Source organism: Homo sapiens, chromosome 2 (genome assembly GCF_000001405.40).
Source record: "Homo sapiens chromosome 2, GRCh38.p14 Primary Assembly".
NCBI classification, from domain to species: Eukaryota; Metazoa; Chordata; class Mammalia; order Primates; family Hominidae; genus Homo; species Homo sapiens.
Genome location: NC_000002.12, coordinates 238,034,688 through 238,057,694, shown reverse-complemented (window position 1 = coordinate 238,057,694; position 23,007 = coordinate 238,034,688). Strand labels below are relative to the sequence as shown.

General features: G+C 45.6%; 1 protein-coding gene and 1 long non-coding RNA gene across 9 annotated transcripts in view, besides 4 other annotated features; both read right to left on the bottom strand.

Annotated features, from left to right (window-relative positions):
- The window catches only part of UBE2F-SCLY (UBE2F-SCLY readthrough (NMD candidate)), a 132,469-nt gene that overhangs the window by 41,719 nt on the left and 67,743 nt on the right, over positions 1-23,007 (bottom strand). Inside the window, exons 7-8 of the long non-coding RNA NR_037904.1 lie at positions 21,755-21,817; positions 445-537 (exon numbers count right to left, since the gene is read on the bottom strand). This is a non-coding gene — a long non-coding RNA (UBE2F-SCLY readthrough (NMD candidate)). The remainder of the gene's footprint in view (positions 1-444; positions 538-21,754; positions 21,818-23,007) is intronic.
- Positions 244-413: an enhancer, noted in NCBI's record as "experimental_57261 CRE fragment used in MPRA reporter constructs". NCBI's record gives its function as "activates a minimal promoter by MPRAs in K562 erythroleukemia cells, with activity observed for both the introgressed and non-introgressed 2:238966008 or rs6761839 variant alleles {active_cell/tissue: K562}" and the evidence as "EXISTENCE:reporter gene assay evidence [ECO:0000049][PMID:34662402]".
- Position 328: a transcriptional cis regulatory region, noted in NCBI's record as "Neanderthal adaptively introgressed variant 2:238966008 (GRCh37/hg19 assembly coordinates) or rs6761839 in the experimental_57261 CRE". NCBI's record gives its function as "modulates activity of the experimental_57261 enhancer by MPRAs in K562 erythroleukemia cells {active_cell/tissue: K562}" and the evidence as "EXISTENCE:reporter gene assay evidence [ECO:0000049][PMID:34662402]".
- Positions 14,795-14,987: a silencer, noted in NCBI's record as "fragment chr2:238951349-238951541 (GRCh37/hg19 assembly coordinates)". NCBI's record gives its function as "represses an EF-1alpha promoter that drives an FKBP-Casp9 reporter gene in an ReSE screen in phorbol 12-myristate 13-acetate-treated (for megakaryocytic differentiation) K562 erythroleukemia cells {active_cell/tissue: K562(+PMA)}" and the evidence as "EXISTENCE:reporter gene assay evidence [ECO:0000049][PMID:32094911]".
- UBE2F (ubiquitin conjugating enzyme E2 F (putative)) overlaps positions 14,913-23,007 on the bottom strand; it is a 75,769-nt gene continuing 67,674 nt past the window's right edge. For 7 of the 8 annotated variants that reach the window (NR_103500.2, NR_103499.2, NR_103498.2 and 4 more), the window contains 2 exons: positions 21,755-21,817; positions 14,913-16,407 (listed from right to left, as the gene is read on the bottom strand). Coding sequence is in view for 5 of the 8 variants with exons in the window: in NM_080678.3 (NP_542409.1) it covers positions 16,357-16,407; positions 21,755-21,817 (114 nt within the window). In the remaining 3 variants the exon portion in view is untranslated. The remainder of the gene's footprint in view (positions 16,408-21,754; positions 21,818-23,007) is intronic. The other variant, NM_001278308.2, reaches the window with a different exon arrangement.
- Positions 17,413-17,913: an enhancer, noted in NCBI's record as "H3K27ac hESC enhancer chr2:238948423-238948923 (GRCh37/hg19 assembly coordinates)". NCBI's record gives its function as "activates a minimal SCP1, AML or CMV promoter by ChIP-STARR-seq in primed H9 embryonic stem cells {active_cell/tissue: H9 hESC(primed)}" and the evidence as "EXISTENCE:reporter gene assay evidence [ECO:0000049][PMID:30033119]".

The window sequence follows — 23,007 nt, the reverse complement described above, 5'->3', positions numbered from 1 at the left end:
AGACCACTCGGCTCTCTGTAAAAAGGACCAATCAGCAGGATGTGGGTAGGGCCAGATAAGAGAATAAAAGCAGGCTGCCCGAGCCAGCAGTGGCAACCCGCTCGGGTCCCTTCCACGCTGTCAAAGCTTTGTTCTTTCACTCTTTGCAATAAATCTTGCTGCTGCTCGCTCTTTGGGTCCACACTGCCTTTATGAGCTGTAACACTCACCACGAAGGTCTGCAGCTTCACTCCTGAAGCCAGCGAGACCACGAACCCACCGGGAGGAACGAACAACTCCAGACGCACCGCCTTAAGAGCTGTAGCACTCACCGCGAAGGTCCGCAGCTTCACTCCTGAGCCAGCCAGACCACAAACCCCACCAGAAGGAAGAAACTCCAAACACATCCATACATCAGAAGGAACAAACTCTGGACACGCCGCCTTTAAGAACTGTAACACTCACCGCGAGGGTCCGCGGCTTCATTCTTGAAGTCAGTGAGACCAAGAACCCACCAATTCCGGACACAATAGCACGTGCACCAAATAGAATTCTCACCTAAGGGAAAAAGTTTATAGAGCTATCAGAGTAGGTCTCCAATAGAGCAAGGTCTTGAGACAAATGGGTATTTTATTTAAAAAAAAAAATAGGCTGTCATGAAACAAGAACAAACAGTGAAAAGAGATACTAGACATTAATAATTGAAGTTTAAAAACTCAACATGAGTTGTCAGGTGTTGGGGAAGGAAAAGATGCATAGGCAGAGAACAGAATTTTTAGGGCAATGAACTATTTTGTATACTATAATGGTGGATACATGTAATATATTTGTCAAAATTCACAGAAGATACAACACCAAGAATGAATCCTAATGTAAACTATGGACTATGGGTGATGATGTGTCAATGAAGTTTAATCAGTTGTTAACAAAAGTACCACAGTGGATGTTGATAGTGGAGGAGGTTGCGTACATGTGCACAGGCAGGGGATATATGGTAACTGCTCAATTTTCAAGTGAACCTAAAACTCCTCTAATAAATAAGGTTTATTGTTTTTTTTAGAACCCCCCAATAGATGGGTTGAAGAGCAGAATAGGCATAGCTGAGGAGTGAATTCGTGAACTGGCCCTAGGAATTCTCTGATTATTGCTCAAAAGGATAGAGATGGAAAATATGAAATAAAATTGTCCATTGAATATGGTGATTCTCAAGCAGAGGTGATTTTTCCTTCCAGGGGTCCTTTGGTCATATCTGGAGACAATTTTGGTTACCATAACAGGAGCTGTGGTGCTTCTGGGCTGTAGTGAGTGAGGCTATTTATACTACTGAGCATCCCCCACAATAAATTATTAGCCCCAAGTGTCGCCAGTGCCAAAGGGGAGAAACCCTGATGTGGTTCCACGTTTCCATTTGGTATCATTTCTTCTGCCAAAGGACTTTGTAGTGCTAGTCTGCTGGTATGCTTCCTTCAGCTTTTGTACACATGAAAACTTGTTATTTTGCCTTCATATTTGATATGTTCCTTAGATCTAGAATTCTGGCTTGAGATTTTTTCTTTCAGCACTTTAGAGTTACTTCTCCAATATTTTCTTGCTTGTATTGTCTGCACGAGACATCTGTTGTCACTCTTATCTTTGTTCCTCTATATGTTGTCTCTTTATTTCCTTCCTGCTTGCTTTGAATATTTTGCTCTGGCCAGGCACAGTGGCTCACGCCTGTACTCCCAGCAGTTAGGGAGGCAGAGGTGGGAGGACAGATTAAGCCCATGAGTTCCAGACCTGCCTGGGCAATATAGCGAGATCCCATTCTTCACAATAAATTTAAAAAACTATTTAAAATATTTTGCTCTGTCACTGATTTTGAGCAGTTTCATTATGAGACTTCACTATGGGGTAGCGTTCTTCATGCTCTTGTGCTTTGGGTTTGTTGACCTTTTCAGACCCATTGGATTAGAGTGTTTATCAATTTGGAAATTTTTTCTTTTCAAATATTTCTTTCTCCCCTGCTTCTTTGGGGATTCACAATTATGAGTTATCTCACAGCTCATGAAGTTCTCATGGGGGGAGAGGTTCCCAGTTTTTCCCTTTATTTTGGATTGTCTTTGTGGCTCTATCTTGAAGTCCATGTTTCTTTTGTAACATATAAGCTGCTGTTAAACCCATCCAGTGTCTTTCTCTAATTTTTTTTTTTTTTAGATGGAGTCTCTCTCTGTCGCTCAGGCTGGAGTGCAGGGGCGTGATGTTGGCTCACTGCAACCTCCGCCTCCCAGGTTCAAGTGATTCTCCTGCCTCAGCCTCCCAAGTAATTGAGATTACAGGCATGCGCCACCATGCCCGGCTAAATTTTGTATTTTTAGTAGAGACAGGGTTTCTCCATGTTGGCCAGGCTAGTCTCAAACTCCTGACCTCAGGTGATCCCCCTGCCTCGGCCTCCCAAAGTGCTGGGATTACAGGTGTGAGCCACCGAGCCCGGCCTGTAATTTTTAATTGAATGCTAGGCATATTATATTTTCTCTGGTGTGTGCTGGATTTATTTTATTTTATTTTATTTTATTTTTGTAGACAAGAGTCTTGCTCTGTCACCCAGGCTGGAGTGCAGTGGCATGATCTCAGCTCACTGCAACCTCCTCCCAGGCTCAAGCAATCCTCCCACCTCAGCCTCCCAACTAGCTGGGACTACAGGTGCATGCCACCACACCTGGCTAACTTTTGTATTTTTTGTAGAGATGGGGTCTCACCATGTTGCCCAGGCTGGTCTCCTGTGCTTAAGCCATCCTGACCTCTGCCTTAGCCTCCCAAAGGGCTGGGATTACAGGCATGAGCCACCACTCCTGGCCTGGATATATATTTTTAATTAAAAATTGTATTGAGATCATTGTAGATTTACATGCAGATGTAAATAAATGAAAGAGATCCTGGCTGGGTGTGGTGGCTGACGCCTGTAATCCCAGCACTTTGGGAGGCTGAGGCGGATGAACCACCTGAGGTCGGGAGTTCGAGACCAGCCTGACCAACAAAAATACAAAAATACTCTCTACTATACAAAAAACTATACAAAAATACTGTCTCTACTAAAAATACAAAAAATTAGCCAGGTATGGTGGCGCATGCCTGTAATCTCAGCTACTTGGGAGGCTGAGGCAGGAGAATCACTTGAACCCGGGAGGCGGAGGTTGCAGTGAGCTGAGATCGCACCATTGCACTCCAGCCTGGGCAACAAGAGTGAAACTCTGTCTCAAAAAAAAAAAAAAAAAAAAAAAAAAGATCCTTTACCCAGCTGTCCACAATGATTAACGTCTTGAAAACTATAGTGTAACATTACAGCCAGGGCCAGGCGAGGTAGCTCACGCCTGTAATTCCAGCACTTTGGGAGGCCGAGGTGGGTAGGTCACGAGGTCTGGAGTTCGAGACCAGCCTGGTGAATATGGTGAAACCCCGTCTCTACTAAAAATACGAAAATTAGCCAAGTGTGGTGGCATGTGCCTGTACTCCCAGCTACTCGGGGGGCTGAGGCAGAAGAATCACTTGAACCCGGGAGGCAGAGGTTGCAGTGAGCCGAGATCACCACTGCACTCCAGCCTGGGCAACAGAGCAATACTTCCTCTCCACCTCTCTCTCTCTCCATATATATATATACATATATATACATATATATATATACATATATATACATATATATATATATATATATACATATATATACATATATATATATATATATATGTATATATATCTCACAACCAGGATACTGACATTGATACAATTCATTGTTTTTCCCCAGCTTTACTCATTTGTGGGGTGTTTAGCCCTATGCAATTTTGTGATGTGTACATTTGTGTATCCACTACCACAATCAAGATACATTTCCATCATTACAGGGATCCTTGTATTAGTCTTAAAAACAAATCCACCCCCTCCTCCTGCCCATTCCTGTCTCTAACTTCTGCCAGCCACTAAACTCTTGTGTTTCTAAAATTTTGTTTTTCCAAATGTGTTACATAAACAAAAACATACAGCATGTTACTTCTTGAGATTTTTTTTTTTTTTCCTCAGTGTAATTCCTGGAGACTGGTCCAAGTTGCTGTGAATAGCTTATTGCTGTTCACTGCCGAGTAGTATTCCAGGGTATGTGTGTACCACAGTTTGATTAACCATTCACAGGTTGAAGGACACCTGGGCTGATTCCAGATTACAGCTGTTATAAATAAGGCTACTATAAACATTGGTGTAAAGGTTTTTGTGTTAACGTAAGTTTTCATTTCTCTGGGATAAATGGTCAAGAATGTAGTAGCTGGGGCATACAGTAATTGCATGTTCACTGTAATGACTCAGCAACTGAAATTTCCAACTGTGACTGCAGATTTGTCTGTCTCCTTTCAGCTCTATCAGTTTTTACTTCATGTGTTTTGAGAGTCTGATGTTGGTAAAGGCACATGTAGGACTGTCTGGTGGTGAATCTTCTGTTATGTAATATCTGTCTTTGTCTCTGCCAATTTTCTTTGCTCTGAAGTCTAAGTGATCAGATATCAATATAGTCACTGCTGCTTTTTTTTTAAATTAAATTCCGCATATCTGTTTTCATCCTTTCAATCTACAAATGTTTTTTAATTTGATGGGAGTTTCTACTAAACAATATAATTGAGTTGTGTCTTTTAATCCACTCTGCCAATCTTTGACTTAAGAGAATTACTGATATGTTAGCTCTTAAATCTACCGTTTTGTTTGTTTCATCTGGGTTTCAAGCTGTATCTCTTTACTTGCCTTCCTTTGGGTTACCTGAACAGTTTTCAGTATTCTGTCTTGATTTCTTTATACTGTTTTCAAAAACTGAGATATAATCCACATACCATAACCTTCACCCTTTTAGAGTACACAATTCAGTGGATTTTCGTCTATTCCCAAGGTTGTGCAACCATCACCAATTCCAGAATATTTTCAACACCCCAAAAAGAAATAACTGTGCTCATTAGTATTCATTTCCCATACCCTAGCAACCAGTAAACTTTTTTTTTTTTTTTTCCGTAAGATGGAGTCTTGCTCTGTTGCCCAGCCTGGAGTGCAGTGGCTCGATCTCGGCTCACTGCAACCTCTGTCTTCCAGGTTCAAGCAATTCTTGTGCCTCAGCCTCCCAAGTAGCTGGGATTACAGGCGTGTGCCACCATGCCCAGCTAATTTTTGTATTTCTAGTAGAGACAGGGTTTCACCATTAGCCAGGCTCTTGTATTTAGGTCTTTAATTCATTTGACTTAATCTTTGTATTATAATATATGACATGAGGTAAGAAAAGACTATTCTTTCTACCATTTAATTGTCTTGATACTCATCAAATATCTATTGACTGTAGGCCAGGTGCAGTGGCTCATGCCTGTAATCCCAGCACTTTGGGAGGCCAAGGTGGGTGGATTGCTTTGAGCTCACGAGTTTGAGACCAGCCTAGACAATATGGTGAAACCCTGTCTTTACAAAAAATACAAAAATATTAGCCAGGCGTGGTGGCGCATGCCTGTAGTCCCAGCTACTCGGGAAGCTGAGGTGGGAGGATGGCTTGAACCTGGGAGGCCAGAGGTTGCAGTGAACTGAGATCGCACCACTGCACTGCATCCTGGGCAACAGAGCCAGACCTTGCCTGAAAGAAAAAAAAAAATCAATTGATCAAGTCAGGCATAGTCCCACATACTCAGGAGGCTGAGGTGGGAAAATCCTTTGAGCCCAAGAGTGCAAGTCTAGCCTGGAAAACATAGTGAGACCCCTATCACTTGAAAAAAAAAACTCAATTGACCATAGATGCATAGGTTTATTTCTGGACTCTATTATCTATTAATCTATACATCTCTCCTTATGACACTGTCTTGATTACTATGACTTTATAGTTAAGTTTGGAAATCACAAAGTGTGAGTCCTCTAGATTTGTCCCTTTTCAAGACTGTGTTGGCTATTTGGGGCCCCTTAAATTTTCTCAAGACTGTTAGGATTAGCTTGAGAGGGTTTGCACTAAATCTGTACGTTTATTTAGTGTATTAGTCCTTTTTCATGCTGCTGATAGACATACCGGAGACTGGGCAATACACAAAAGGAAGAGGTTTAATGGACTTACAGTTCCACATGGCTGGGGAGGCTTCACAATCATGGTGGAAGGCAAGGAGGAGCAAGTCACATCTTATGTGGATGGCAGCAGGCAAAGAGAGAGCTTGTGCAGGCAAACTCCCCCTTATAAAACCATCAGATCTCGTGAGACTCACCCATCACCACGAGGACAGCACGGAAAAGACCTGCCACCATGATTCAATTACCTCCCACCGGGTCCCTCCCATAACACGTGGGAATTTAAGATGAGATTTGGGTGGGGACACAGCCAAACCATGTCATTTAGGGAGTATTGTCATCTTAACAATATTAAGTCTTGCAAAACATAAACACAGAATGGCTTTCCATTTATTTGTCTTCAATTTCTTCCAGTGGTATTTTGTAGTTTTTGTCTCTAAGTCTTGTTTCTTTTATTAAATGTATCACTAAGTATTTTTTATGCCATCACAAATGGAATTGCTTTTCTTATTTTCATTTTTAGATTGTTCATTGCTAGTGATTACAGTATACTGCACTTATATATTGCAACCTGGGAAAAGCAGTTTTGTCCTCAGTGAGCTCTAACTCAAGTCAAATACAGCCTTGCAAGTGGGGCTTTTCATGGAACTACAAGATTTGTTAAATGACACATTTCTCAGCTGGGCGTCATGGCTCATGCCTGTAATCCCAGCCCTTTGGGAGGCTGAGGCGGGCGGATCACCTGAGGTCAGGAGTTTGAGGCCAGCCTGGCCAACATGGTCAAACCCCGTCTCTACCAAAACTACAAAAATTAGCAGAGTGTGGTGGCGTGCACCTGTAGTCCAGCTACTCGGGAGGCTGAGGCAGGAGAATCACTTGAACCTGGGAGGCGGAGGTTGCAGTGAGCTGAGATCATACCACTGCACTCCAGCCTGGGCAACATAGGAAGAAAAGGACACATTTCTCCAGGAATGAGGCTTTGAAGGATCTCCAGCCATGTTCTGCTCCCTCCAGTGGTGTCTAGGCTGTGCATTTGCACTGTAAATGTGTTTAAGGCTACTGTGGAGTTTGAGGGTGTGAAAAAGGGATAGTGTGCCAGGCATGGTGGCTCACAGCTGTAATTCCAACACTTTGGGAGGCCAAGGTGGGTGGATCACCTGAGGTCAGGAGTTTAAGACCAGCCTGACCAACATGGAGAAACCCCATCTCTACTAAAAATACATAATTAGCCAGGCATGGTGGTGCATGCCTGTAATCCCAGCTACTCAAGAGGCTGAGGCAGGACAATTGCTTGAACCCGGGAGGCAGGAGGTCGAGGTGAGCCGAGATCATGCCATTGTTCTCCAGTCTGGGCAACAAGAGCAAAACTCTGTCCAAAAAAAAAAGAAAAGAAAAAAGAAAGAGGAATAGTGTAAGTTAAAAATGCCATAAACCTCTGTTGTTAATGAGATTTACATATTTTTCTTGAGTAAATGCTCTGGATTGCTTCAAGCCTATGGTTAATTTCCAGAGCTATAAAAAGGTGACTGATAATTTTTTGCCAGTTTTGTTACTTTTATGGAAGAGAACATTTTAAGAAGTTCTTGGCTGGATATGGTGGCTCACGCCTGTAATCCAAGCACTTTGGGAGGCTGAGGCAGGTGGATCACTTTAGGTTAGGAGTTCGAAACCAGCCTGGCCAACATGGTGAGACCCTGTCCCTACTAAAAATAGAAAAATTAGCCGGGCGTGGTGGCGCATGCCTGTAATCCCACTTACTAGGGAGGCCGAGGCAAGAGAATCGCTTGAACCCGGAAAGCAGAGGTTGCAGTGAGCCAAGATTGCGCCACTGCACTCCAGCCTGGGTGACAGAGCAAGACCCTGTCTTAAAAAAACAAAATAAGTTCTTTGCCAATTTCACTGATATCATTTCTATTCATACTGTCTCTTAGTGTGTCTCTGTAGTTTCCTTAGTGGCTCTGGTATTACAATATACATATATGACTTATTAAGTCTACTAGTGTCAACATTTTACCACCTCTAATGAAATAAGGAAATCTTACTTGCATTTAATTTTATTCTTTTTTTTTTTTTTCCAAGAGAGAGGGTCTTGCTGTTGGCCAGGCCGGAGTGCAGTGGTGCAGTCATAGCTCACTGTAACATCTAACTCCTAAGTTCAAGTCATCTTCCTGCCTCACCCTCCTGAGTAGGTATGACTACATGCATACACCACCATGACGGGCTAATTTTTTTTTTTTTTTTTTGAGATGGAGTCTTGCTCTGTCACCGAGGCTGGAGTGCAGTGGCGCAATCTCGGCTCACTGCAAGCTCCGCCTCCCGGGTTCACGCCATTCTCCTGCCTCAGTCTCTCGAGTAGCTGGGACTACAGGCGCCTGCCACCACACCCGGTTAATTTTTTTGTATTTTTAGTAGAGACAGGGTTTCACCGTGTTGGCCAGGGTGGTCTCAATCTCCTGACCTCGTGATCCACCTGCCTTGGCCTCCCAAAGTGCTGGCATTACAGGCGTGAGCCACCGCACCTGGCCCCATGACGGGCTAATTTTTTAGAGATGGGGTCTTGCTATGTTGCCCATGCTGGTCTCAAACTCCTGGCCTCAAGCAATCCTCTTGCCTCGGCCTCCCAAAGTGTTGGGATTACAGGCATGAGCCACTGCACCCTGCCCTATTTCCTCTACTTTTAAATATCATTGTATTGAGCATCAGACAGCATGATTTTTAATTTAACCAACACATATGATTTATGAAGATTATTTTATCACTTCTTTTGTTTGAAGAACTTCCTTTAGCTAAACTTTATGGGTAGATCTGCTATTAACTAATTCTTCGTTTTATTTCATCCAAGAATGTTTGATTTCACTCATTCCTCAAAGTAAGTTTTGCTGTATATAGAATTCATGGTAGACAGTTATTTTCCTTTCAACACTTATAATACCATGCCACTTCCTTCTGGCCTCCATGATTTCTGAGGAGAAATTCACTGCTTTCAAACTGGTGTCCCCCTATAGGTAATGCACTATTTTCCTCTGGCTGCTTTCAGGACTTTTTGTTTTCAGTTTTTAGATGGTTAACTTATTATTTGCCTTGGCATGGATTTTTTTTTTCTTTTGTTTGAGACGGACTTTCACTCTTGTTGCCCAGTCTGGAGTGCGATGGCGCGATCTCGGCTCACCACAACCTCTGCCTCCCGAGTAGTTGGGATTACAGGCATGCAGCACCACACCCAGCTAATTTTTATTTTTAGTAGAGATGGGGTTTCTCTATGTTGGTCAGGCTGGTCTCAAACTCTTGACCTCAGGTGATCCGCCCGCCTCAGCCTCCCAAAGTGCTGGGATTACGGGCGTGAGCCGCCACGCCCGGCCTCTTGGCATGAATTTCTTTGAGTTTATCCTGTGTGGGGGTCACTTAGCTTCATCAATCTCTGAGTCTTTCCATAACATTTGCAAAGTTTTCACATTTATTGTTTCAAATACTCTTTTAGTCTTACTCCCTTTCTCCTTTCCTTTTGGAACTCAATAGGAAATGGAATCTTTTGTCATTGTTCCATTGAGGCTTTGTCCTCCTGCACTCCCCCTTTTTGGTTTCTCTCTCTTCGGATTTAGTAAATTCTATTGATCTGTCCTCAGATTTGCTGATTGTATCTTCTGTTATTTCTACTCTACTATTGGGCTCACCCAGTAAATTTTTAAAGTTTCTGTCACTGCACATTTTAGTTCAATAACTTCCACTTGGTTTTCTATAAGTTCTATATCCTTGTAGAGATATTCTATTTTTTTATTTGTCTCAGAACAATTCATTAACAGCTTTTGAAACATTTTTATGATGGGTACTTTAAAAATACTTATAAGAAAATTCCATCTGATTCAGCTCATGATTAGTGTCAGTTTATTGTATTTTCTCATTTAAGTTGCAATTTTCCTGGTTCTTGGTATGATGAGTGATTTTCATTTGTATCTTGGACATTTCTATTATGTTAGGAGATTGTTAATTTAAATCGCTGTCATGAACTGCCTGACGTCATGTCTGAAAGCCTGAAAAGCCATAGATATTGTTGGGTTTTTGCTTATTTCATATAGGAGGGTAGATCCAATCCTTGTTACTCAAGCTGCAAGCACAAGTCCCCTCTGTCCTGTTATCTTCCTTCCGATGGCTTTTGTCTGTTTTCTTCTGCATTCTGGGAGAATTCCTCAAATTTGTCTCCACATCATTGATCTACTTTCTCAGCATCAATTCTGCCCTTTGCTGTGCACTTTATTACGATGATTTTAGTTTCTTCATCTAGTTCTTTTATAGTTTCATTCTGTTTCCTTTTCACTTTGGCCTATTGCCTACTTAGGGCTTTTTTAGTCAAAGGTGCAATTTACTGCATTTTCCTAAACATGTGGATTTTTCTTCCCTAAAAGATTTTTTTTCATTCTACACTTCATTTCCAAAATCATGTTTACCCTTAGAATCTCCAGGATATTACTTCTTCTTTTCTGCAGCATTTTCCCACAGGCTTTACTCAAGCAAAGTAAACTCTGCTCAGCCTTGACATCTGTCAGCTGATGGAAAGGCAGTTACCTTGCCTGGGTGGTGCCAGACGCCATCCTCAGCTATTGCCTGGGCTAGTAAGTCCACCCAGCTCCTGGTTGACTGCCACAAGCAGGCTTGCAGCTGGTGTACTGTGCTCTTAAGCTACTACATATTTACTCAACAGCCAAAAATCACATTGTAGTAACCTACTCAGTTACTGCAGCTGGCTAAGGCCTGTACTCCAGATGCTGACTCCTGGGAGAGGCAGGAATACATATGTGAATAAGTGCAGTCCACACCCTTGGTGCTTCTGGAAGCTTGGGAAAGACAAGGATACTCAGAAAGTGTTCGTCTACCTGTAGGAGCAGGAACAGTTTCATAGCAGTGGCACTATATGACCTAACCCTTGAAGGAGTCCCAAGAGGGAGGCTGAGTGTCTTGGAAGAGTGGGCCTCATCTCAGAGCATGTTAAGCACTACTTTGAGGCCAGGGTCTTCAGGGCAGTGGCTGGCAGGGTGGACAGGGGCCCAGTGACAATGGGCTCTGTATGCCAGGCACAGGAATGCTTATTCTGAAGGCAAGAGGAAGAGGTGGAATGGTCAGAGGTGTTTCAGAAACCTCTGCAGCAGTAAAGTGGAGAGGATGTGGGTGAGGAGGCCATCCCCACGGGTTTTAGTCTCACCTGCCTGTCTGGCCAGCTCTTCCACATCCCACTGCCCTTCCTACAATGACCATGGTTTCTGTCACATGCCACTGTGATGGGTATGGCAGAGCACACAGCCATGTGAGTGGGCTCCACAGTCACTGGGCTCCACCTGTGTCTCCTGCTCTATCTGGAGCTCCTTGCCACAGCATTCCCCAGGGAGACAGGTTCTCTCTTTCCAGACTAACTTGAGGCGGAAACCTCTTAGGAATAGGAAACAAGGCTACTGACCCACAGGGCTGCTCCCAGCTACAGCTCCTCCACCTCACCATGGGTAGGAGAGGAAAGGACACAGGTGAACAGGGTCACTGAGGCTGGAATACATATTTTTAGAAAGGGATATCTGGTAATATCAATGACTGGTTTGAGACAAAGTAATCTTCGAACATTAGGCATCAGGAATGACATACGAGTGATGAGCTGCTAGGAACGTCATGAGGCTGGACAATGAGGTGATGAAAACCCAACACTGAAAAATACAACAAATACAGACAGAGGAGGCCTTATAGGCCACAAGAGCATCACCTGGGTACCACCTAGATTATCAGTGAAGGGGAAACACCCACACATGAACTGTGGACCAGAGGCCCAAGGAAGAGACAAAATGGAAGTTCTAAGCCACTATGGCTACTATGTAAGTCTCTCCTGGTTACTGTGCCTCCCTGACAAGTATTTACCCCAGTTGGCTGTGCATGGAGGCCCTGTTCACAGGTGTTCTCTTTCCCAGCATGGGGAACTCTTGGAGTAGGCACTGTCATTTCCATCTGGCCCTGACATAAGCTAAAAAAAAAAAAAAAAGAAAAAGAAAAAAAGCAGTGAATATACTGGAAGAACTCTGGCTCAGTGAATTTGCCAATGAGAATCAGCAAGGCCTAAGATGAATTTTTTGAAGTGATCATTCGGTTATTTATATAACTGTGTGAACAAACAGATATTCTTAACAATGCGGGGTCCCCAAATGCTCCCATCAGTGGGTTTCTTGAAGAACTTTATTTTTTCAAACCACAATTCTTTCAATAAATAAATTTCTGTAATCTATGGAAACCCGGGGTAAGAGAGGTGGCGTAGATAGGTGATACAGACGCCTCTGAACCAGCCCCTCTCAGCTGTTCAATATGTTTAATTTTAGGTGGGGCTATAGGAGGGAGGAAAGAAGGGAGTGACAGGTTTTCTCATTTTTCAAATTATTCTTTGGCAAAGAACAAGTTAAACATTTTACTAAGACTATATATCAACATTTTACTAGACTTATTTTATGAAGAATAGTGAACGTGTAGCAAACTTGAATTTCCAAAGCGAAACATATGGATAAAAGTGAAGGCCGGGTGCGGTGGCTCACACCTGTAATCCCAGCACTTTGGGATGTCAAGGCGGGCAGACTGTTTGAGCTCTGGAGTTTGGGACCAGCCTGGCTAACATGGTAAAACCCCATCTCTACCAAAAATACAAAAAATTAGCTGGGAATGGTGGTGCATGCCTGTAGTCCCAGCTACTGGGGAGGCTGAGGTGGGAGGATTGCTTGAGCCCAGGAGGTGGTTGCAGTAAGCTGAGATCACACCACTGTACTCTAGCTCCAGCCTGGGTGACAGAGTGAGGCCCCATCTCAAAAAAAGAAAGTGAAAACAATCCTGAATTGGTGGTTTACATCTTCTTGTTGGAATTCTTACATAAAAAAACACAACCTGCTTGATTTGATTATTGACAAAAAGGGCGATGTTAACAGGAATAAGTGACTTATTTTGAAAATCTCTTAGGGAATAAGAAGGTTCTACTTAACAAGTGTAACTCAGAATGCACCAGTAGTGCCGTGGGTTTTACAGAAGAAACTGGAACTGATTTTTCACAGCAGTTCTTTAAATAAGCGGGGATGGGGAGTGGCAGCAGAGCAACCCCAGGAACAGCAAGTGGGGTTTGTTCACTGAAGACTGTGACAGATTTTAGTGATCACCACCGCCTGGGAGTTTGCCCACTGGGATTTTATTTTTCTTTTTTGGGGGTCTAGAATCCAGCAGAAAGGCTATTCAATCTTTCTGCTGCCATAAGAAAAAAACATGCTGGGTCTATCACCAGATGGCCTCTGAATGGGCTAGGACACTGCTGAGACTGGCCTAGCTATGAACACTGTTGTGTTCTACACCCCACAAGGTCTTTCCAGACAAGTGTGCAAGTAACTAGAGAAAGAGGAAAACATGCACAGGTGCTTTGAATCATGTAAACTGCCGAATACTAAGGTACCTGATCCTTTACAAGAATGGACATTCACAATGTTTTAGCTCCTGAGCAGCCTCTCAGGCCTCTCGTGCCTGGAGACGAGGGCAGGTGAAGACAACCCTAACCCAAGACACTGGCTCCCTGTGGTCTGTGCTCTGCAAATAAAGCTGGTGGAAACATCACAGATGACGAGTCGTGGGAGAAAAGGCGAGGGGCACAGCTGAGATCCATTTTCAATATCTGAGTAATACTCTTGCCTTGGCTCCTTAGTAGAAAGGCTGCAAAGAGATGGTCACCTGCTGGTGATTATTTAGGGGAAGATCAGAGGTAAGATGTGAGCCTTCCTCTGAGAGGCTTACCCTGGAAGTGTTTCCTTCTAGGAGTGCTTGAAAAACATACAGCTTATGCATCAAATTCTAAGCAATAGTCATAAGGACCCTCTGGAGTCCAGCCAAGAACCAGGATTCAGGAAGCAAAGGTTCTGGATGTCCAACTGGATGTCAGAGCTTCCCAAGAGCTTCACTTCCCCAAGGGCCTGCCCACTCTCACCTATTTCCAGGACTGGCCTTTTGGCCGAGTATAGGGATTCCCATTCCCTGACAGATCAGAAATCACCAACTAGTACCCGGTTGGTTGGGGGCACATGCGCTGGAGCCAGAAATGTGACTTTGGCCTGTGAAAGAGGGAGGGGAATGCTAAGAATTCAAAAAGTCTGGAAGGAAACTGGGTCCCACAGTCACCCAACAGATCCCAAGGGCCCCACTGGCCAAGCACCCAGGACAACAGCTGCTGCTTACTGCGATGGGCTGCATCTGAGTGTGCTCCTAAGATGGGGTGTGTGTGCGCAACATATCTCTGGGGGATTTCCACTAGACAGAATGGGATGATTCAGTTATCTGGACATTTTGAAAGAATTGCTTAATCCCTGATAATGAGCAAAGTGTTTTTCTACTGTGCAGATACTTTGATGTCAGAATAACTGATATTACCACTTTCAGTGTGGTCCAGAGGGCACACTGTCTTTCATGTACACTGCATAAACGTTTCCACTGGACAGCAGGCGTTTCTCCCACAGAAGCGCTCTTCTGAAAAGTCCTGCATCAACACCTGCACCACCAGCTGGGGAACTCCAGGGAGCCCGAACAACTACTATGGGATGTGCCCTGACTTGGGCCTGGGACTGGCACCAAGCAGAGAACCTCATTTCCTGGGTCAGAGGGGGCAGGAATTAGCTGCTGGCCTCCTGCCCTGCCTAGAGAGGAAGCCTAGTGCTCAGCTGGCAAGTTCCTCTGACACTAGGCAGAGGAAAAGTGTGAAGCTGCAGTACCTCCCTCTCCCAGGCCCTGAGAGGTGGGGATTAATGTGTCTCCTGGACAAGCCCTGAGCTCCTGAGATGCCATCATTCTCTTTAACCAATCTCACCCTTCCTGCTCTGTGTGGCCTGTTAGCCAGGGGCCACCCTCAAGTCTAATGGGTGCAAAGAGGAAGCAAGGCCTACATTCCTCACCTGCTGGGTCTCCGTGACAGACTGATCTCACAATCAGAGATTCTATAAATTAAGAAAAACAAACTAAACCCAGTAGATGGCAGATGGGGGAATCCAGAGGTCTAAGGAAGCTGGCAGTTAAGTTTGAGAGTGTTAGGCAGGCAGCAAATGAAACTAGACAGACATTTATTTTGTGTTTGATTTCACTGGTTCAAATGTCTACATGCTGGAGTAAATCCACTTGCCTCTCTTCAGGGCTTTTCCTCTGCAGTATATTAACCTGGCCGAGGATGGCATATGCCACTGTTGACTCCTGGTCCTCCAAGGCCTAGGAGGCTCACCCCACCGGCAGGGCCTGGAGCCATAGCAAACTCAGAAGAAGGCCACAGGTACAGTCTCAGTGACATCAGACATTGGGCTGATTCCTGAGGCATCGCTCCTGTCTCCCAGGACAGCAGGGTCTGGCTCTCTGATAAGTAGCTACCAGGTCACAATCACATGACCACTGCAAAAGCATCAACCCCAGCTGGTCCAGGCTCCAGCCAGTTTCCTCTGGGCAGCATGTTAGAATGGGCTCCCTGCCTTTTTGTTTTGATCATCCAAATCTAGCTTCAAAGGGCTCCAAAATGTGCTCACCACATCCGGACCCGAAAGCAAGAGCTGATTTTTAAGAGTGAGATTCTCATTGCATTTGGACAAAATGAATAATGTGCCTTTCATATTTTCTTTGTATTTCTCTTCAATAGTTGCTTGACCCAACATCTTTCTGTCTGCTCTATACAATGAAAATACAAACTAAATGAGAATAGAAAAAATAATTAAAGCATTGAATTGTACAAATTACAAATCTGTTCCAAAATATACTTACATTAAATAAAATACGCATTTCAATAAGAGATCTACAGTGAATGACTCTATGCATTCTGGGAGGCTTCACAACATCTAGGCAGGGCCAACATTCGTGAAAGAAGCTAAGAGATTTTGCATCCAATCACAGTTTGTAGCGGGTATCTTATTGCCAATCTGCGAGTTACACTGAACACATCATTAGCATCGCTTGTGCAGAAAACCAATTTTGTTTGGGAAAAGGGAAAGCAAGCTCTGGCCTCAATTTTGAGTTCATTACAACTTCTTAAGAATTTCACCAACAGCCTATACAGTACAAGTTCAAAAAAGTAAACATGTTAAGGTAAGCAGACAACTCTTCAGAAGCCCAAACACATTTTCTTGCTGTATTTATGTTGAATTCTCCATCTACAATGAGCAGTCATGAAGATGGTCTTCTTCAGGGCAACATGGTCACAGGACTGGGGCAATCCAGGGGACTGAGAGGGAGCATGAGGACGGGAGAGGGGGCTACCTCTTGCTGTTTCATGTTAGAGACAAACTGTAACACAGTCCATGGGCCTGCAATCGTCCCCTTTTATCATCTGGCATAACGTTTGATGTAGTCATCCACTTTATTCCGGAAGTCCTCCTGTGGAGTAACAGCATTGGGGACAGAAAGAAGAACAGGAGGAGTGAGTGAGTGAGTGAAGCAGCGCTTCAGGGACAAGTCAGATCCACCAGCACCAAGGTCCCCTGTGGTCGCCAAGGTGGTAGAAGGACTGGGACCTTGCGGAGTCTGAGTGCCATTTCGCCACGACCTGGGTGCCTACTGCACGCAAGACACAGTGCTGGGTATGTTGAGGGGGGAGCACGTGGAAGGCCTGAGTGGAAGGGACCCTAAGGGGGTACCTATCCCTTCTCATTTTCCAGATGGGGAAAGTGGAGCCCAGAAAAGTGTGGTCGAGGTCACAAAGCCAAGACTCCTTTGGCCACAATGGATGTGAGCCACAGCTGCTGCTCTCAGGAAGACCCTTGTTTCTGGATTTGTCTTCCTAGAATGATTTCCCTGGATGCTGCTACCTACTTAAAATGTGCCTGCTCTTCACAGCCCATGTACAGGCCCCCATCTCTTCTGGGCAGGATGACCACCCTGCCCAGAAGAGAGCTGGGTGTGCCACAGAGCTCCATCCTCATGCATTGAAATGAAGGTGGACAGTGACCAAAGGCGGTGTGGACCTAGGAATCACCCCAGGCCAGTATGGGTGGAACAATCTTCTCGGATCTGGGCCACTGTCAGGTTTGTCCCTGGATCTGGTCTCCCCAAGGTTAGGAGTAAAATCCCATGGGACTGTATGAGCCGTAAGAATGACTTGGAGCTCTTAACCCTCTCACTCCTACAACACAGCTGCTGGGTCTCAGATGTCCCTGCAGGATCACACTGCTTCGGTCCCATCAATGCCATGCAGCCCCCACTGCCCAGGGAACACAGCACAGTTACCATAGTTCTTAGTGGGCATGAGCTCCATTTCCTTAGCTAAGCCTCAGTCCTCCTGTCTAAGCCTCAGTCTAACCTGTTTGCTGATTCCACTGCATAATCCCGACACCTGGCAATGTGCAGGGTATAACCTGGCACTCGATGTATACCTCGCTGCTGCCGCGATGCCCTCTTGCAGGGAGATCCTGCCTGGAGCATGGTCCTGGCCAGCTGGGCACCAGGTGCCTGCCCTCCTGCCACACTTTTAGTTAGCACAGCGACCCTTTCCAGGGCGGGCAAGTTCCCAATTTGAAGCTATGGATACGGTCCCATGACTTGCTCTGGTCTCAGGGTGAGAAAGTGGAGTGCTCTGAGTCTACCCAGGTGCCTCTGCCCTGCCAACCGCCCTATTTGTCTACAGGATGGCGTTTGGAGCCTCCCACATGGGCCTTTACCCCGCAACAAAGGGGGACTGTGCAGAAACCCTGCCTGCCCTTTTACAAAACCTTCTCAAGGCCATTTCCACAATCCCCAGAGCCAGACAATACTGGCAGCTCACAAGGACCCTGCAAAAGCTTACAGGATGTAAAATGAAGACCCCATAAATGCCCCCTGCCTCTCCATGTTCTGGAGGACAAAAGATGCCATGTACTCTTAGTCTCCCTGTTCACCTCAGCCAGCATAGAGCCCGGCGTCCATGCCTGCAGCAGGCTCCATGCTCCAGCAGGCCCCATGCTCCAGCCTCTGCTGCCTCCCTCCTCCTCTCCTACTGCAAGGGACACAAAGCACAGGGCCCAAGTGAAAACCACAGACTCTGGAGCCAGAAGGAGGTGGGTCCAAGTCCTGGGCTCTGCCTCCAATGGGCTACTCAATCATGGTGATTCTCAGCTTCTTGGCAGCTGTGTCCTCAGCAGCAAAACAGGGATCATGATGGTATCTGCCCCAAGGGGCTGTTGTGAGAAACAAGTGCACTCTGTGTCAAGTGCATGGAAGCGTGCCTGGCTCCTACTATTCCATTCCTCTGATGTGCACCAGTCATAATGGCCTCTTTTCTCTGCCCTGAGCTCCACAGCACATTCCTGCCTCAGGGCCTTTGCACTGCCAGCCAAGGTTTTCTGGAGCGCTCCTCTCTCACCACCCGGCCCTCTGTGGCCCCCTCTCCACCTCACATGCTGTGTTTGTTCACCTATTTTTTTAAATTTTAATTTTCATTATTATTATTTTTTTGAGATGGAGTTTCGCTCTTGCTGCCCAGGCAGGAGTGCAATGGCGTGATCTCAGTTCACTGCAACCTCCGCCTCCTGGGTTCAAGTGATTCTCCTGACTCAGCCTCCCAAGTAGGTGGAATTACAAGTGCCTGCCACCATGCCCGGCTAATTTTTTTATTTTTACTAGAGATGGGGTTTCACCATGTTGGCCAGGCTGGTCTCGAACTCCTGACCTCAGGTGATCTGCCTGCCTCAGCTTCCCAAAGTGCTGGGATTACAGGCGTGAGCCACGGTGTCTGGCCGTGTTTGTTCACCTATGCTCCGCCTCCTCCTGCCGGAATGTGTGCGCCACAGGGACAAGGACTGTCATTCCCACAGTCATCCTGAGCACTTTGCACCTCCCCTGGCACATAAGTGGTCACCAGCCAAATAAGTGATGAACGAGTGGACATAAGGATGCGGTGCTCACCAGCTGTGACTATGACTCCGCACGGAGACGGGGATGGGGCGGCACTGCTTAGGCTTCATGTGGAGGCACCACTGTTTGGAGATTTTAGGTCCATTTTACTGGGGCTAAAAGTGTACCAGTTGCAAAGTCCTATTTTATACAAATCAGGAATATGAAATCTTGTTTCATACAAAGAAAGGTAAAATGGAAGACATCTCTCCACCTGGAGCTGTGGGAGTACCCCTATTGCCATCACTTTCTATCTGATAAGGCTTGGTCCACAAGGGCTAGTCCTCGCCAACGACAGCAGACAGGAGTGCCGCCATGAATGCCTGCAAGGGGTGGGCCAAGGGGCACATTTGCCCAGGGCTTGTCAGCGCAGTACCAAGCCCAAGGCTTTACCAGACAACACAAGCCCATCAGGACCACCGACGGATGGCAGGGGTCGGGGACTGATTGCCCCCATGGGGAGCTGTGAGCACAGGGCTGCCTCACACCCCTGCTACTTCTCTTGAGGACCCCTGCTGCTCCAGCCCTCAGGACAGAGCTTGCCTCCTTGGCAGCACACCAGCCTCAGAAGATGGCCTGCTCTGCCCGCCTGGTTGCACTGCACCACTCCCCATGCCCACCATGCCTGCCACTTGTTTTGTGAGTCTGAGCAGGATGCATGCTGGGTGGCACTTCTCTTGCCTCCCTGTCGGAGGTGCTCCTGCCCACTCTTTGGGGCCATGGTCAGGCAGCACCTCCTGAGCTCAAGACTGTAGCGAGGACTTGGCAGGGCACATTTCAAATGCCCTACTTGGTCGCGGCACACAGTAGGTCTAACTAACATTAACAGAAGCCAAGGCGCTAAACATTCAGCACGATGTCTAGAACTAGCTAGAGGGGTTTTAGAACTGTGTTCAAAGCTACATCAGGTCGGGTGCAGTAATCACTTTGGGAGGCTAAGGCGGGTGGGTTGCTTGAGGCCAGGAGTTTGAGACCAGCATGGGCAACATGGTAAAACCCCCTCTCTACTACTAAGAATACAAAAATTAGCCCAGTGTGGTGGCGCATGCCCACAGTCCCAGCTACTCAGGAGGCTGAGGCACAAGAATTGCCTGAACCCGGGAGATAGAGGTTGCAGTGAGCCAAGACTGCACCACTGCACTCCAGCCTGGGTAACAGACTCTGTCTCAAAAAAAAAAGCAACTTCAGCCAAGTGAACAGTAGTGGCTGACTGACTGCCACAGTGGCAAGGCTGCCATAGGGAATCTGGTTCAGAAAACGGAGTGCGAGGTTCTACCACCAAATCCAGCCAGAGCCCCTGGCCTAAGCTGAGCTACCTCGACGCCAGCCACACATGGCCTGCCTCTGCAGGCTCCTGCTCCATGTGCTTTGCACTGGGCCAATGGTAAAGTCATTTCAGACCCCCTTTCCTGACAGCACTTCCCCTCCTCAAGGCTTGTATGCTTTCTTTTATCAGACAGTTAAAACCACTGCTGCCTTGCTACTCAAGCACAGTGGAAAGGTGACATTCAGCAACTATAATTCTTTCAGCTTGGGTTTTGTTATACCTTTTTCTTCCCAGTGAGTTTTAATATATTGTTTCTAGGTAAACGGTCTTCCTTAAATAGGTGTCTTACTGGAAGACCTCAGTGTGGCTCCTGAAATGAATGACTGATCATTTATGCACTGCATTAGAGGAAAAAAATTTTTAGAAGTGGAATTGAAGATTAAAAATAATGAATAGGGGGAGCTCTCTGAACCTTGACAAGCTCAGGGTGCTGTCCTAAAAATTAAATAAATAAATAAAAATTAAAAACAGTAATGAATAGGATCTCATTATTTTTGGGTAAAAATCAAAGTCAAGTGTGTATGAATGTGTATGAGCTCAACAAAAGGTGTGGAAGGATAAGGTGGGCCGCTGGGGGTCAGGAGGGTGCTAGTGGGTGTGACACCGTCCATTCTCCTTCTCTGTTCCTACTATTTACTTATTTATGTATTTAAAGATGGGGTCTCATTCTGTCACCCAGGCTGGAATGCAGTGGCACAGTCTTGGCTCACTCAACTTCCCGGGCACAAGCAATCCTCCCACCTTAGCCTCCTGAGTAGCTGGGACCACAGGCGTGTGCCACCATGCCTGGCTAATTTTTGTAAAGACAGAGTTTTGCCATGTTGCCCAGGCTGGTCTCAAACTCCTGAGCTCAAGCAATCTGCCCACAGTGGCCTCCCAAAGGCTGGGATTACAGGTGTAATCACAACGCCACCATGCTAGTGCTATACCTGTTTTAAATTACTCATACTAAATTCTACTAGGAAATCACATAAAAAAAAAATCACTTCTCGGCTGGGCGCCGTAGCTCATGCCTGTAATCCCAGCATTTTGGGAGGACAAGGCAGGAGGATTGCTTGAGGCCAACCGTTCAAGACCAGCCTGGGCAACAAAGCGAGACTCCATCTCTACAAAAAATAAAAGTAAAAAAATTAGCTGAATGTGGTGTCATGCACCTGTAGTCCTAGCTACTTCAGGAGGCTGAAGAGGGAGGATCACTTGAGCCCAGAAGGTGGAGGCTGCAGTGAGCCACTACTGCAACACTGCACTCCAGCCTGGGTGACAGAGTGAAATCTTGTCTCAAAAAACCAACAAAACAAAACAAAAAACAAAAAAACAAACACACACCAATTCTCTCCAACCTTGGGTAAAGCATTTTCCTGAGGTTACACACATTTACTATACCATATTGTTTACAAATTGCTTTGAATTCCAGCCTTGCATCCCACCACTCTCTTGGTGGATAAATTTCTCATTTATCCAATCAAGAGACAGTAGTAATCGTGTTCGTGACAAGTACATCAACCTAGAATAAGCCTGTTACTGGCTCACCTTGTCCCGCAAATGATGTTCTGCAGCTTCAATATTCAGTGGATCATCAAAATTCAAAAGATCCTTAAAAAGAGAGAAACTTAAAGTAAACATTGGGAGAACTGCTTTTCTGCTGTTAAAGTCTTCATTTTATGGCACAGTAAGAGAAGTCTAATTAGCAAATGGCAGACCAAACTGGAGAGCTGAGAATCCCACTAAGAACTCAAGTGCTTGTGATACCAAAATATCGAACATGTGGGTATTTTTTTCAAAATGGTGACTGACAACTGACTGAAAGAAGTCAGAGATATGTTGACATGTAGTTCTACAAAGTTTGGTGAAGATGGAGTAAATTGCAATCGCATTCATTTCTAATGCTATTTGTGATAACTGGAGAATGAAAACCACTATTATTAAGCATTTCCAAATAAAAATCCCCTTCTTTTCCATAAAAATTCACTTTTTCTTTTGTTTTGTGATTAACAGTTTTGACTTTTTGGGCCCCTTCCCTGGACTTTCCTTTCTCTGCTTCACCAAGCCTCCCATGCACAGCCAATAGGGACGATGTCTAGAACCCGAGCAAACTGCACAGCAGTGTCGCTAGGCTCATGTCCCCCGACTCAGGAGAGGGAGCCCAACCCATTCTCCCCTGGAAAAGCACTGCAATGGCTACGCCCCTCAGCCCCAAGAAGCACTCTGGACTTTGGACCAAAGCCGCATCTTATCTTCACACTGCTCAGCCCTCTTGTTGAGAATCAGGGGGCTTGCCTGGCTGGGCACGGTGGCTCACGCCTGTAATCCCAGCACTTTGAGAGGCTGAGATGGGAGGATCACCAGAGGTCACAAGTTCGAGACCAGCTTGGCCAACATGGTGAAACCCCGTCTCTACCAAAAATACGAAAATTAGCCAGGCATGGTGGCGCATGCCTATAATCCCAGCTACTCGGGAGGCTGAGGCAGGAGAATTGCTTGAACCCAGAGGCAGAGGTTGCAGTGAGCCAAGATGGCGCCACTGCACTCCAGCCTGGGTGACAGAGCAAGACTCGGTCTCAAAAACAAAAAAAAAAAGAAAAAATCAGGGGGCCTCAATTTGTCCTTATGATGAGTCATGGCTTTCCAACGCAGGCTGTAGGATGGATCATTGTCAAGACAACCATATTTCTCTTCAGGAATGATGTTAAATTTGGGGACTATGTTCCTGGAGATTAATATGGCTGTGACCATTAAAATGTTACAAAATAGCAAAGAAAAACTGTAAATCTCTATAGTCATTC